The following is a 16,664-nucleotide window of genomic DNA, read 5'->3' as shown; positions in this document are numbered from 1 at the left end:
TTCTCATTATTTCTCACCTGGACTATGGCAACAGCTTCTAAATAGGCCCCCAGCTTCCTTCTGCTCCTTCCCTCCTTCAGTCTATCTTCCACCTCGACCAGGGTTGTTTATTTAAATGCTGATCTGATTTTATCACTTCACTGCTTCATATCCTCTAAGAGCTTATGATGATTCCCAAGGAAAAAAACTCAAGTCCTTAATGTGGATGAATACCCATTATAAGGAGTCTGTCACCTCGCTAGCCTCACTGCCCTATCCTATATATCCCCTATGTACCCTGTACTAGAATCTTTCTGCAATCTTGTAGCTCACTCATATCTTCAGGTTGAGGAATGTGTTGTTCCTTCTGTGAAAAATCCCCCTGAAATTTCCCTACTGACAAACTCTTTCTAATCCTTCAATCTCAGATACATTGATATTTCCTCCAAGAAGCCCATCCTAATGCTTTCTACTCCTCCTTTGCACCCTCCCAGTGAGATAGGTGCTCCCACATTGATATCAGCCATCTTGTTCTACAGCATTTTCTGTGTTTGTTTACACCACTGTTCTTGCCAAATTCATTCTTGCTAAGAATTCATTGCAGTCATGCTTTTAGAATATTTTTTCTTTGTCCCCCAGCTCCTTGCTTGATACATGGTAGGCAGTCACTAAGTGTTTAATGAATAAATGAGGTAGCAGGAAAACAATGAATCTGCAGAGATGACAGAAGGACATTGGGGAAAAGGAAAGCTCAAGATTATATATAACATGTTTGGTTAAAAAGTGAAGCTAAATACACTAGTGTTCTTAAGGGGAAGAGAAGGAAAAACAAAGAAGAAAAAGGGAGGAGAGAAGAGGAGAGGGGAGGAGAAACTTGTTTAGTCTCCAATATAGGTGTTCATCTTTATGAACTGAGATTTGAAATAGATTTTGATTTAATTATTTAAGCATTTAAATAGCAAATATTATTTTTTTCTACCTCTCTGTTGCTTACAAATACCATGACGTGACTCTCAGTATACGTATCGGAGTAATTTCAAGGGACATGTTAGAAACTTAGAGACTTTGTACCAAGATTTTTTATATGGAACAAAGGAAGAGAAATATTTTAGAACACATTTTATTTGAGCTTCAAGGATAGGAGGAAAAAATGTTCTTCACTTAATATGGAACTTAGTCATAAATGCCTTGTCACGTGAGAGACTCTTTATTCTCAATTTGCTTTAGGGTGGAAAGAAAGGAACGTGCCCGATTGAAGACAGTGAAGTTTAATGCCAAACCTGGAGTGATTGATTCGAAAGGGGTAGGTACAAAATGATGGAAACATCAAGTTCTCTCAGTTGCCATGGATTTAACTATAATTAACACATTTAGGCTTTCAGTAGCAAACAAATTATGAAGGTACCAGACAGTAGAGCACTGTTATAAATATATTGCTGAAGTTAATAATGTGATTTCTGATGAAATGGATTTATGGTAAATATATTTAAACACTGGGAGTAAAGCTGCAAGTGGTTAGCAGAAGCAGTGTGTTGATGAAGGTGATGTAATGACTACAATGAAGAAGAACAAGATAGTTTAGGTGGTTTTTGTTTCTTTAAGTTTTTTCCTTTTAAATTAATGTTCTAAAATGATGGATTTTATAAAAAGTATCTGCTCATCAGAAAATATATCTAGTCTGTTTCACATTATGAAGCTAAGACAGTAGTCATAGAAACATGGATTATCTAATGAATACACGGATTGTTGTGACAGACATAGAAGAGAATTAATGACTAAAATTTAGCCATCAAAATTAGAATATTTACTCACATATACATGTGTACATGTTTTTAAAATAATAGCTTTATAAGATAAAATTTGCATACAATGTAACTCAACCACTTAAAAAATACAATCCAGTGGTTTTTAGTATATTTAGAATTATTCAACCATCACCACAATCAATTTTAGAGCATTTCATCACTCCATAAAGAAACCCTATATGCATTGACAGTCACCTCCCATTTCCCCACCCTCCCACCCCAACATAGGCAACCACTAATCTACTTTTTGTCCCTATGGATTTGCCTATCCTGGTTATTTTATATAAATGAAATTATACACCATGTGGTCTTTTGTGGCTGCTTTTTTCACTTACATTGTTTTCAAGACGTGTTTGTGTTGTAGAATGTGTAAGTACTTCATTTCTTCTTATTGCCAAATAATATTCCATTATATGGATATGCCACATTTAATCTGTTCATTTATCAGTTGATGGACATTTCAATTGTTTCCAATTTTTAGTTATTATGGATAATGCTGCTGTGAGCATTTGTGTACAAACTTTTCTGTGACATATATTTTTATTTCCATTGGCTGTATGCCTAGGAGTGAGATTGTTGGGTCATATAGTAACTCTATGCTTAACATTTTGAGGAACTGACAGGCTGTTTTCCAAAGTGGTTGCACCATTTTACATTTCCACAACAATGCATGAGGGTCCCAATTTCTCCATATCCTTGTTATTATATGTCTTTCTGATTACAGCCATCTTAGTTGGTACGAAGTGGTATCTCATGCTGGTTTTGATTTTCATTTCCTTAATGACTGTTGATATTGAGCATATTTTCATGTGCTTATTGGCCATTTGTATATATTATTTGGAGAAATGTTTATTGAGATCCTTTGCCCATTTTTAAATTGGGTTGTCTTGTTATTGTTGAGTTGCAGAAGTTCTTTATATAGTTGGGTTATTAAACCTTTATGAGATATATATGCTTTGCAATATTTTGTCCCACTCTGTGGGTTGTCTTCATTTTCTTGATAGTGTTCTTTGGTACACAAAAGGTTCTAATTTTGGTGAAGTCTAATGTGTGTATTTTTTCTTTTGTTATTTTTGCTTTTGGTGTCATATCTAAGAAACCATTGCCTAATGAAAGTCATGAAGATTTATATCATATTTTCTTCTAAGAGTTTTATAATTTTAGCTCTTACATTTAGGTGGTTGATCCATGTTGAGTTAGTATTTGTACGTTGTATGAGTTAGGGTTCTGATTTCATTCTTTTGCATATGAATTGTCTTCTTAATTTCATTTTTGGATTGTTCATTGCAAATGTACATAAATATAATTATTTATAGACCAATCTTATATCCTGCAACCTTGCTAAAGCCACAGTTTTCTAGTGAATTCCTCAGAGTTTTCTATATACAAGATATACATGCAAAAAGAGAGAGTTTTGCTTCTTTCCTTCAAATATGGATGCCTTTTTTCCTTGCTTAATTGCACCAGCTAGAACCTTCAGTATAATGTTAGAAATGGCAAGAGCAGACATTTTTGTCTTGTTCCTGACATTAACAGAAATGCATTCGGTCTTTCGCCATGAAGTGTGATGTTAGCTGTGGCTTGTATAGATTTTTTAAATCTATTCTTTGAAGAGATAATACTGTATCTTATTGCTGTGTTGTAAAATAACTTTCCCATCTTCTCTCTTCCCGTTCTCTTTTTCTTCATATCCTTTCTTTCGTCTTTCTATCCTAGCAATTGTAGCTTGTGAATATCATACAGAATCACAAGTTATGGTCAATTGCTGTCACCATGAAAAACAAGAAAAAAAAAAGCTATAATTTCTCAGGGATTTTGAGGCCCGAATCATAGCACTGCCCTTTCTATTTCTAGAATCATAAGGGAGCCCAGTCATTGACATAATAATTTACCCTCCCCTAAAATATTCAAATGAAATGAAAATTTATTGAAACATAGGATGTCATTCTACATAGAAGTGAGGGTATGTGACATCATGACATAAAGTCCTTTCAAACAAATACTACTTGTATACAAGAGGTAGGTTTTTTTTCCATGATTCCTGGTGAGAATTTAAGGATAGACCTCTTATTTGTTTGAGATAGATGGATAGATAGATAGATAGATAGACAGACAGACAGACAGATAGAGTTGGATATATGTGAGAGGATTTTTACTGAATACCTACCATGTGCCAGAAACAGGACTAGAACTTTAGAAGGACACAAAGTCTAACATGGGCCCTTTTCCCCAAGAGCTCCTAACATCAGTGAGAGGCCAGATGTCTTTTCAGTAAGGCTGAAATATATATGATGTGCTTTCTAATTATACATGTTAAACACCATTAGGTATTTGCCAATGAATAGGTTGTAAATTATAGGACTTCGCTATTGAAAGAAAGGAGTAATCATCTGGGAAGGGAAGCCCTGAATGGAAAATCAGGAGGGTCAGTAACCTGGGTTCTGGTTTCAGCTCACTACTAAGTCACTGTTGTTCTTTGGGCCTTATTACCAAAATAAAACCTTTAAACTACATCAGGGATGTCAAACAAGTTTCATCTCCTGTGTAGACTAATGGATTGATAGTTTATATCTGGAGTATTGTTTTGAAAAAGGATTCTGAGGCCATAAATGATTTCAGAAAAAAAAAAAGAGTGCCATGATTGAGTCATCTCTAGCACAACATTGGGAATTATTCTCTATTTGCAGTTACTGGATTCAATGATTTTTTAAGGTGCCTTACGTTAGTAACTCTCCATAAGATTTACTCATGCATTAATTGGTAATAAATCAAAGTTTTTCAAATCTTTATGAGAAAATACGTCAATAAGAAGACTTGTCCAGAAGTAGAAAGCAAAGAACCATTAGCAAGAGATAAAATGCACTGAGGAAAGGAGAGAACAACTATGTGGAGAGTTGGGAAAGCTGGGTCAGGAGATGCCACTCACTTTGAATTAAAGGCAAGGACTACAGGAATAAGTCATTGATGCAGGGGCCTCATTCTCTGGGACCTTGGGATAAATTCAGCATAAAGTGAGGAGGAAAATTGTCTGGAATGAGAAGGATAATAGGGTGTTTTAAATAACCTTATCATTAGCTGGCATTTTCAGAGCATTGTGAAATGTCCTGAGGAGCCCAGAGTGAAAGCCAAGGTTACTGCCCTGGAGGAGCTTAGATTAAATTAGTATCTGTGAAAGCAGGCTGTGACAAGAGCCTTATTAGTAGTATGTACACGAGCTATAAGAATTTAAATTAAAGGTTGCAGGAATAACCAGAGAGCACTTTATAGATGAACTTGGACTTTAATGTGACTGTCAGTGCTTGAGTTACTTTTCCAGAACTCTTCATTGATTGCAATAACACCGAGTGCTGCAAAACACCAGGCAGGCTCAAAAAGAGAAATATAAGCAGGCAAACAATGATAATACAGCATCACTAATGTTTTCCATCAATTTAGGGAATGAACAGTCTTTATTTTAAAAATCAGGAGCCTGAGCCTCAGGAGGATTAACTAGCTTGCCTAAGATCACACAGTTAGTAGGTGCAAGCATCAGGTTGAGATCATTTTGACAACAGAAGCCTGCCCTTTCCATTACTCTACACTATACATGATTCTGTTGAAGCCAGAGGAAGTAAAGCATTACAAATATGCCTTAGGTAAAAGAGAAGGCTTCAAAGAGGCAATATTTGAATGAGATCTTAAATTTTCAGTAGGAGTTTGCCACATACATAGGAAAAAGCATGAACACGATAGTGGAAATTGCAGACATGTTGGAATAGGGTTAAGCAAGTCAAGGACACCAGTGTGCAAAGGTCATGGTGGGAATTGTAGCAAATGAGGTTGACAAAGAAGGTCAGAAAGGCCAGAAAGCTTGTATGGAAGGCCTGGCTATCAGGTTAGAAGCTTATTGGATTTTGAAAGTATACATGAAGAAATCTGAGGTTCTTCATTTGAAAGTGCTCATCTGCTACAAATGAAATACCCAGGATTTCTATCCACTCTGTGTGCCTTTACAAAGTCTATGTCTACACATGCAAAGAAAAGTGGGCTATTGTGTCAGTAGCCTAGATAAGTCCAACCTATGCAGATCCCTAAACTTCAAACAGCCATCTATTTGGATAGGTCTCCCTAAGACCCATCTCAGTGCCCCAGATAGCAATGCAGTCAAGCTCCCCTGGGAATGTCTATTAAATTTCTAATGAGTCTCTAGTCAAACCAGCCTCTGGTGAAAACTTAAGCACCCCTTAATTTCTTTTATTGTCCTTCTACCTTTTTTTAAATCAATTTCACCGTTAACCAGCCATTCTGTTACTTATTGAGAGGTTTAGGAAATTGCATAATCTTCAGAGTCAAGCTGTTCTGCACTGAAAAATCAATGACTATTTAGTGATTTATGCCAAACTTCTTTTTTAAGTCTATAATTTAAGAAAGGGAAATATATGTAAGAGAGAGTATGAGAGAGCTATCAGTATCCTTACTATATGTCAGCAACGTGCAATGTGTGTCTCTTTTATGTTGTAAACCCTTTCTAAAGTAAGGTATGGTATAAACAAATAAATCATCCTATTTATCCTTGGGCTGGGACAGAACAGAGATGATAGTTGTTATTTGAAGTAATATGAGTAGCCATTATAAAAACCCAGACAGTTTACATACACCTCTCTTTTAAAAAAAAAATTGTAGAGACAAGGTCTCTCTCTGTTGCCCAGGCTGGTCTCAAACTCTTGGGCTCAAGGAATCCTCCTGCCTTGGCCTCCCAAAGTGCTGGAATCCCACAATGCCCGGCATACATACATCTCTTAATCACCACAAGACTTCAAAGGAAATCATTTATTTCCTCTTTATAGATTTAAAGAAACTGAGGCTTAGAGAGGTGAAGAAAAATTCATGTCTGACTGATTCCAAAGTTCACAATCTGCTTACTATAGCATGCTTTCTTTTTTATTGACATCATGTAACACTTGTGCAATTTAAGAAAAATAAAGAAGTAAATTGAACTGGGTTTAGCTTTGTCAAAACCTAACTTGGGCATAAACTTAAATCCTGAGGAGAAGCTGGTTTTCCTAGATGATGCACATCTTTCTGAAGGAGAACATTCTAAAGTGAGCTCAGATATACACACTTTCTCACTGTGGCCTGCTAAAATAAAATGAGGGAACAAGTCTTGCTGAATGACTTCATTCATTTATTTAATAAACCTTTATTAGATCCAATACAAGGCAGCTTGATAAGTAATGTGGAGGTGTAAAGACAAATAAATCATGGTCACTTTCCTGACGGAGCAGGTCTTCTGGGGGACAGAATGAGTGTCTACAGGGAGGAAGTGATTAATACCAAAGGAGAAGGGCAGAAAACACGTTTTCAGTGCAGAAAAGGAGATTCCAGCTTGAATTAGGGGGCGTTGAAGGATTAGGAAAATAGGGACTGGGGTTAGGAGTAAGATACAGAATAAGTATGAAATAAAACATGGTTCACTTTCATTACAGGGAACAATTTGTGAAGGAGAATGAAAAGAATCAGAACTGGAAAGTTAGACTCAAGTCAGTTTTGATGCCTAAAATTTTCCAGGAAACTTATACTTTATCCTGTAAGCAATAAAGAATTTTAAGGGTTGTGACCAACCAGACCAGGTTGATTTTCTCTGGGCTAATGCCCTGAAGGTACCTATATCACTGCCTATACAGGCTGCATTATGAGGTCCTTCTAGGCAAAGATCTGAATCTACTCATCTGTATGCCCCAGCACCTAGCACGATGTCTACCTTAAACATACTAGCTACTCAACACATAGAGCAAAGGGAATGGAATGTTCAGAAGTGGGTTTCTGAGAGATCAGTCTGGCAGCTGTGGGAAGGAAAGGTTGGAGGAGAGAGACTGGCAATAGGAAATGTTTGAGAAAGCTATTACAGTATTCTGGGTGTAAGATTCTGAAAACCTGAACTCAAAAGTGGCAATAGGAAAGCAAAATAGGAAACCATTTCTAAAGAGATCAGAGAGGACTATCATCCTTGGACATTTGTCCCGACTGTTCCTAGTAATATTCTATTTCCTTTTCCAAAGCCTTACGCTCCCTTTAAGAGCAGATGTTGATTATGAGAGAGGGGATGGGGCAGAAGCTACAGGGATAGGTTGATAGCAAACTCCCAAAATCAAACTGCAGCTGGCATTGAGAAATCTCATTTCTATTTCATAGATTCTTAGAACTTTCCATATGGCCATTGACTTAATTTACAAATGAAGAAACTGAGACTCATTTCTCTAGGACACACAAAGAGCTGGTAGCAGAGCCTACTATTGTGTCACTTATCAAAAAATCAATGTGACAGTCAGTATTTCGTTAGCAAGATGGGAATTTTATTTGCTTCACCAGAGTGAGTTATAGGGATTGATTTTGTCACAGCTTCAAAGTGACATTTTGACAAAAGAAATGTCATTACTGCCCTCGAAAGAAAGCTCTTTAATGGAGCCGGTCTTGGAATGGCCAGAGCCAGGCAAAGATCTCAAATGTCCAGAGGTGATCTACAGATCCATGGAGGAGAGGTGGAAGGAGAGCCATACTGCTGCACTCCAGGGGGCATCAGGAAGGCAGGCTTTGCCCTCAAGGTGAATAAACTCAGAAGAGGCTACTCTTTGATGTCTTTGTTATTACTTTTCTTATTCCAAGCCTTCTAACACCTTCCTCACTGGTCTTCCTGGCTCACCTTTCCTCTCGGATTCTTTCCCTATACTGCATGCAGTGTGGTTTTAACTGGTCTTATATTTTTATGTATAAAGAACAAAGATAGGCATATGTCCAGGGAATTTTGCAGCTTCAATAGCCCAACGTGGAGACACTTTATAACTTGTTATGTTTTCTTTTGAATGTGATAATCACATCTATCCAAACCTTGAGTTCCCTTGTCCACTGAGAACCACCTGAGCCAGCACACAGATAACTGTCTGATCAAGATGTGCTAGTGGCTTTTCTGAAAATGGTTCTCAGAGGAAACCCCAGTCAAGTCTCCATGTCTGAGACATGTTAAGGTGTGTCCTATGTAAACCCTGAAAGCCGATGGAACTCAAGGAACATTTTGGGATGAAAAAGTTCATATTATTTTATGTATTCCTCATAGTCTATTTGTCTCAAGTTGCTGATGACGAAACTGCTATTCTGTGGAATGGCGTGGAGAATAAACTACATTCCTTATGTATTTTTGTGCACAGGCATTTCTGCCACTTGGGTCCACAAAGCACTGCCATTGAAACTGTCAAGTTAATCTGCAACCTTATATACAAAATGTATTATAATTTATAACTGAAAAATCTGTTCACAGTGCACACACACACATACTCATGTTTACAATATATTTCAGTTTCTAAAAGAGATATCGTTCAAAATGAGCCTTGAAGAATCAGTAAAATCTAATCAGGTGTAAAAAGATGAAAAGAGTGTTGTTGGCAGAAATCAGGAAACAGCCCGGTGTGCTCAGGGAAGCCAAGGAAGCTTAATATTACGTAAGTGCAAAGCATAAGTACAAAGCTTCAAGTGTCCAGAGATAACGCAGAGAAGTTGGAAACCAGGTCATGAAGGTCCTCCATCTTGAGGGCAGTGGAAAGCCTTGGGAGGAATTCAGCAGAGGTTAGATTAGAATTTAGCAGATCATTTTGCTGTGGTGTGAAATAAATTTCCAGAGGGAGGCAGCCCCAGAGGGCAGGGATCCATTTCAGTAATTCAGGTAAGACATGGAAAAGACCTGACCCAGGACCATAGAGTAGCTGTGGAGAGAAGAAACCAGAAAATTTTCAGCAGGAAAAAAAAAAAGTGTATCCTGCAGCATCTACATCAGAATCAGCTGAGGTGCTTATTAAAAATGGAGGTGAGCAGGCTCAACCCCTGTCCTGCAGGATCAGAATCTCTGGAGATGGGGGCAGGAAAGCTGCATTTTAACAAGCTCCCCAGAGATTTTGTTAGGCATGCTACTAATTTGAGATACACAGGCACAGTGGAAAAGTTTGGAATCAGACAGAATAACCAACTCCTATCAATTATCATAACTTATCTAAGCCTAATATGTGAAAATAGAAATCATATTAAAAGATACAATATATGTAAAGTACTAAGAAATATTAGTCTATCTTTTGCCCACCCCTACCCACAAGCACATACCTCTTAAACTCTCACCCTTATAAGGCTAGAATGAGCAACTTCCTAACACTACTCTTTTCTTTAGATTCCAAATCTCCTTTTGCACAGAGGAAGAAGGGAGAGTTGCCAAAACTGCCCTGTGTGCATTTGCATACGGTGTTTTTGACCTTGTGCTTGTTTAGTTGGGGAGAGAAGTTACCACTGGCTGACTCTAATGGGCAGGAAGATGGAGCTTGGCAGCAGGACTGATTCTAAACCCCGCCCCCTGCCCCTGCCATTGGCTGCAAATCCAGATGGTTTCTGAGTTCTCTGCTATCTTGTGTAGCTACCTACAGGAATTTCTAGAAGAACACACTTGATCAGTGCTTACTGCTTTGGAGAACCATTGCATCTCATTTAGGATACCAGTTATTCTGAACATCTGTAGATTTGTTATTTTCTACATATTATTTTTATAACCATTGCTCATTTGCTCCTAACAGTAACCCTGTGAGGTAAATATTATAAATATGCCCGTTTTGCAGATGAGAAAACTGAAGTTAAGAAAGGATAGATAAATTACCCAAGCTCCTACAGCTAGTAAGTGGCAGAGCTGGGCCCTGCATTACATATTGTTATTGTGCAAGCAAATCAAAATAATTGATTCTTTAGAAGATTTTTACATATGAACTAATTCCAGATGTTAGTAGCATAGCTAATTCTATCCATTCAAGTACTGATGGTAAGACTAAAGTAATATAAATAGGAGTTGTATAATATGTGGTTATGTAATATAAATAACAAGTATAGTTTTATCAGATAACACTGAGCTTTTGTTAAATCTTCTTTTCATCATTAATTCAAGGTAAGTATTATTCAGAAAATTTAGCTCAACCCATTTCTACTTTGGGAATTATTAAAGAATAAATTCTGATTCACTATAGGACTTCCTTTCATCTGACTCTGTAGTAATAGGCCTACAGTCATACCGTTGAGCTTGCAGGTTTCACTTTGCAAAAGTTTTTAACTATCTCAAAGCTAAAACATCAACACTGAAAGATAAAGATGCAGAAGTGAATGTCCAGTCATCTGACTTGCTCACTATGGTAATTATTGCCAGACTCTTAGCAAGTAAAAAGAGTATATCTTGCCTCTTAACTATACATTGTGTTTATATGTGGGTAAAAAGGTTTTTTTAAAAAATAATAGCACGTGTAATATCTGAAAAGAGTTTCAGCAACAGCTTCCAATATGTTCTTAATATTTATAAAAATACCTAATTACCTTGCATTTTGATTAAAAAAAAAAGGGGGGGGGGGCTCTAAAATTAGACTATCCTATTCTTAACTTTTCTGACTACATGACCTGGAGCAAATAGCTTCTCTTTCTGAGATGTGATTTTTCAACTATAATAATAAACTCTGGAGAATAGATAGCAAGTTCCTTGAAGGCCAGGACTATGAATTATTTAGGGCCTAAAATAGTTCATGGCACTCAACCAATAAGTATTGAATTAAATAATGTGAGAAGAAAGAACATGGTGTATTAGGAGAAAAATCATGTAAATTAGAAGGCACAGATCACTTTTTTTTTTTCTATAGGTTGTGAATGCAGAACCAAATAATTTATTGTTGCCTTTAGAGGAAGGTTCTCTTGATCTGAGTGTTACTTCCTTTTATTTCAATAAATAGGTTTTGAGTTTCCTGTATGCACTGGATACCGCTCTGGCCACTGGGTGGAGACGTAGATGAATAAGACCCCACCTCTGCCATCCCAAGACTTTCTTTTGGTACACACCACACACATACATATACACACAGCTATAGCATAAGGCAAAAAAGTTTAGCAAAACATGAATAGAGTCTTAACAGGTATTCAAATGGGCGGGAGAGCCTACTCCATGTGAGAGCAATTAAGAAAGGGTCCGAAGAAAAGGTAGCATTTTAGCTAACTCTGTGAGGAGTAAGTGCACTTTAACACTTAGAAAACAGCAGGAGCAAAAGTAAACGAATAGAGGGTATCTGGTGACCAGCGAGTATTCCATTCAATGGGCACACACAATGGGGCAGTGGTAAGGTTGTAAACATAGCTTGAGGCCCAGTAACAGAGGGCATTAAGTATTCCTTTAAAATTTTTGAAGAGGCTCTTCTTTGGGTACTGGGGAGCCCTTCAAGGTTATTGGATGGAGGAGTGACAGGCTGTGTTTGTAAATAAAGAGGTTGACTCTTGCTGGGAGGATGGATGGTGGGGACTTGGGAGGGACTGGAGTAGGGAGACACCTAGGGAAGGACGGTGGGATGACTCAGGGGAGAAATCATAGAGCCTACATCCTAGGAATTGAAGGGAGCCCACAGATGGCAATGGCATGTAGGGGAGACTGTTAAAAATGTCATTCATGAACATGTGGGGGACCCTGAATAGAATTGGTAGAGAAGGGGTAAAAGGCGAATGGTGCAAAGTAACTGCCCACTAGGAGGACAGTGGAAGGGAAATAAACTTGGCAGAGTCCAGACCGGAAATTAAAATTGTATGTATGCTTTTAAATCTATCCTCTAGCAGGCATCTCACCAACACCTCACTCCAACACATTTGCCTTACCTGGTAAATCAAGTCTGCAGCATTAAGTAATTGCTACGTGTTATCAGAAATCAATGGCAGTTTATACATGATACTGGAATAACCACCAAATTAAACTGAAAACCAACCCAGGTCAGAATAAAAAAAATTGTCACTAAAGTAAACTTTTTAAAATTGAAACTAATTTTAGATTGATTGCCAGGTTAAAACCAGAAAGCTGGCTGTGATAAATCCACTTCTCCCCCAGGACTAAAATTCTTTGTGGATACTGGAAAATAAGTCCTTGTATTTGCAAAGCACTTTTGTACCTTACCCATTTGATAAATAAAGAGGCAGGGTCAGAGGAAATAAGTGACCTGTGTGCAGTCACACAGCCAGACACTGTTCTTTGGAGGTCCATGAATATTTATTTAGTATACAGTTCCATTTAATTTGTGAAGGTTTACAAGACGTCTTTCATGTTCAGCACTGTTCTAGGGCCTGGGGGAAAACAAGGACGCCTGAGCCTTTGCCCATGCTCTTGGCAAACATTAAATGGTCTGGCAAACATTTGGATTTCCTTTGAAGTTGGCAGTCTCGATACATGATCTATTCTTCTTAGGCAGTCAACAAACTTAGTACTGCCATCCCAGCTATGCCACTGGCTGTGTCATCTGAGACAGACCAGTTACTCCTATGTAAAGTGGGACATGTAAGAGGGTTAAACTTACCTCATTAAGATGCGAGCTACACAAGAGTCATAGCATGAAGGCTATTGAGTCAAATCAAAAGTATACCTCTCAAGAAAAACATCCATGTGTAGCCCACTCTATCTATCTATCTATCTATCTATCTATCTATCTATCTATCTACCTACCTACTTACCTGTCTGTCTTTCTTTCTATCTATCTATCTATCTATCTATCTACCTACCTACCTATCTACCTACCTGTCTGTCTGTCTTTCTATCTATCTACCTGCCTACCTACTTACCTACCTAGCTAGTTAGCTATCTTTCTATCTATGACAACGCAGTAAGCACCATGAACCTGCCACCTAATGTGAAAGCATGAGCAATGAAAGGTATATCATGACTAAGGATTATGATTTTTCCCTTTCTGTGCACTTGAAATCCCTGTAAGAGAAAAAGAGAAAAATAATTTCCATGACTCCAGGGCTATTGGTATACATAGGCAACAATGGGGAAGCTATGAGAAACATCTTTTATTTGTTAGTAGTGATAACCGTAATGCAGTTTCCATTCATTCACAGAGTTCTGAGAAATCTGAGTGACACAACTACAAAGTGAGAACTTTTCCAATTACTGTCTCAAATTTATTACAAGCACTTGTCAATATAAGTGAAAGCCTATCTCACTTGAAAAGAAGTAAAAAGTTTGCAGATATGCCATTCGCCTTTTATGTTTTGACAACTTCATGAACATTTGTAAAGATTTTACTAACACGTCCTGTTTGAACACTCTTGATGTGGTGGTTTTTCCTGGAAGGCCCTAAGAAGCCACCATTTTGCTCTGTAATTGACTTGTGCTCACCTGCCCAAAGAATTAATACCATAATGAATTTGGGGCATGAGGTAAATGTGAATGACAAACCTGGTCACTCCTTATTCATAGAGAAGGATTCTGTGAACACCTCCCAAGTCTAATGGCTCTAGGTGAAGTGGAGTCTAAGCCCAAATGACAGTCAGAAAAAGACAGATATGAATCTACGATTGCCAATGGATGGAATGATTGCTTTGTTGCAGGTAAAAGCTCCCCATCACCCAGCTCATCCCATGAGCTGCCTGAACTTCTGTGTTTATGCCCTTCGCAGTAATAGGCAAAGCTCACATTTGGCAAATAAAGAATTTGACTTTGATTAGTATTTTTTAAATGTGATAACAATACAATTGATGTTTTTTGAAGATTACATATAAGCCAGGTGTTTTTGCTAAATAGAACAATTTTTCTCATTAAATCTTCACAAGAATCCCATGAGGTGAAGAATATAGGGTCCCCTTTTAAAGAAAATAATATTTCTGGGCACCCATGCCCCCAAGTGTTGACTAAATCTTTTTATAATGATGTTACCTAAATACATAAAAAACACAAAATTAGGGGCAAATACCTTATAGCTCTTATATCATCTATCATGTTCAAATAAATTTACAAATTAAACACCATATATGTAATAGTGGTATATTGTAACAATAAAATTCAAAATTACAGCATTAATGTGATTAGTGATACTTTAGTAAAACTAAATCTTCTTCCACAATGTAATCGTGGTTGTGGCTGCTGTGTGGAAATTTTGGAGTTGCACCTGCTGAGTGCTAGGGAAGACTCAGTTCTCTCACCACTGTTTCTCTACAGTACACCCCGCTGCAGAACCACTGCAAAGGCCCCATCTGGGTCTTACTCCATACCATTTACCCAGCCCCTAGTACTGAGACTGACACCTTGGAGTCATTAAATGAATAATTATGGACCTCAGTTATACTACAGACACCCTCTGTGGCTGCTCTCTCTGCACTGTGTTTTAAGTTCCTGACCCCCACACTTGATGGGTTTTCTTGCCTAGTTGCACAGTGCTCAGCTGTACTCTCTTGGCACTGTCAGCAGATAGCTGTATGGAGCAGCCCCTCAGTCCAGCCCCCTCCCACACTGAATTTGCTATTTTAAATCTACGAGCTGAGAAACCCCAGGAACAAACTTCTTTTTTTTATTTATTTATCGTTAATTCTCATTTTTACCATTTTTAATTTCATCTCACATCATAGTAAGTACAAATATATACATATATATATGCTAAGACTCTGATGGGTAGATTTTGTGACTTTTCTGTCAACTGTGCAGCTCTGCTTCTTTGGGATATATAATTCAGACACTTAAAGTTGCTGGTTAGAAGATGGCCGAATAGGAACAGCTCCAGTCTACAGCTCCCAGCATGAGCAACACAGAAGACAAATCACTTCTGCATTTCCAACTGAGGTACTGGGTTCATCTCACTGGGGATTGTCGGATAGCGGGTGCAGTGCACCGAGCATGAGCCGAAGCAGGGTGAGGCATCGCTGAAGCAGGGTGAGGCATTGCCTCACCCGGGAAGCACAAGAGGTCAGGGAATTCCCTTTCCCAGCCAAGAAAAGGGGTGACAGATGGCACCTGGAAAATCAGGTCACTCCCACCCTAATACTGCGCTTTTCCAATGGTCTTAGCAAACGTCACACCAGGAGATTATATCCCGCGCCTGGCTTGGAGGGTTCTACGCCCATGGAGCCTCACTCTTTGCTAGCACAGCAGTCTGAGATCAAACTGCAAGGTGGCAGCAAGGCTGGGGGAGGGGCTCCCGCCATTGCCAAGGCTTGAGTAGGTAAACAAAGCAGCTGGGAAGCTCAAACTGGGTGGAGCCCACCACAGCTCAAGGAGGCCTGCCTGCCTCTGTAGACTCCACCTCTGGGGGCAGGGCATAGCCAAACAAAAGGCACCAGAAACCTCTGCAGACTTAAATGTTCCTGTCTGACAGCTTTGAAGAGAGTAGTGGTTCTCCCAGCATGCACCTTGAGATCTGAGAACAGACAGACTGCCTCCTCAAGTGGGTCCCTGACCCCCGAGTAGCCTAACTGGGAGTCACCCCCCAGTAAGGGCAGACTGACACCTCACATGGCCGAGTACTCCTCTGAGACAACACTGCCAGAGGAACGATCAGGCAGCAACATTTGCTGTTCACCAATATCCGCTGTTCTGCAGCCTCTGCTGCTGATACCCAGGCAAACAGGGTCTGGAGTGGACCTCCGGCAAACTCCAACAGACCTGCAGCTGAGGGTACTGACTGTTAGAAGGAAAACTAACAAACAGAAAGGACATCCACACCAAAACCCCATCTGTACGTCACCATCATCAAAGACCAAAGGTAGATAAAACCACAAAGATGGGGAAAAAACAGAGCAGAAAAACTGAAAATTCTAAGAATCAGATCACCTCTCCTCCTCCAAAGGAACGCAGCTCCTCACCAGCAATGGAACAAAGCTGGACAGAGACTGACTTCGATGAGTTGAGAGAAGAAGGCTTCAGAAGATCAAACTACTCCGAGCTAAAGAAGGAAGTTTGAACCCATGGCAAAGAAGTTAAAAACCTTGAAGAAAGATTAGACGAATGGCTAGCTAGAATAACCAATGCAGAGAAGTCCATAAAGGACCTGACGGAGCTGAAAACCACAGCATGAGAACTACGTGACGAATGCACAA

The 16,664-nt window shown here is 38.7% G+C and overlaps 1 protein-coding gene across 62 annotated transcripts in view; it reads left to right on the top strand.

Annotated features, from left to right (window-relative positions):
* DLG2 (discs large MAGUK scaffold protein 2) overlaps positions 1-16,664 on the top strand; it is a 2,173,362-nt gene that overhangs the window by 2,094,384 nt on the left and 62,314 nt on the right. For all 62 annotated transcript variants that reach the window (NR_165353.1, NM_001351274.2, XM_017017256.3 and 59 more), the window contains one exon: positions 1,207-1,282. Coding sequence is in view for 61 of the 62 variants with exons in the window: in NM_001351274.2 (NP_001338203.1) it covers positions 1,207-1,282 (76 nt within the window). In the remaining variant the exon portion in view is untranslated. The remainder of the gene's footprint in view (positions 1-1,206; positions 1,283-16,664) is intronic.

This window comes from Homo sapiens, chromosome 11 (genome assembly GCF_000001405.40).
Source record: "Homo sapiens chromosome 11, GRCh38.p14 Primary Assembly".
NCBI lineage: Eukaryota > Metazoa > Chordata > Mammalia > Primates > Hominidae > Homo > Homo sapiens.
The sequence above is the reverse complement of the archived record's forward strand: the minus strand, read 5'-3'. Positions and strand labels throughout refer to the sequence as shown.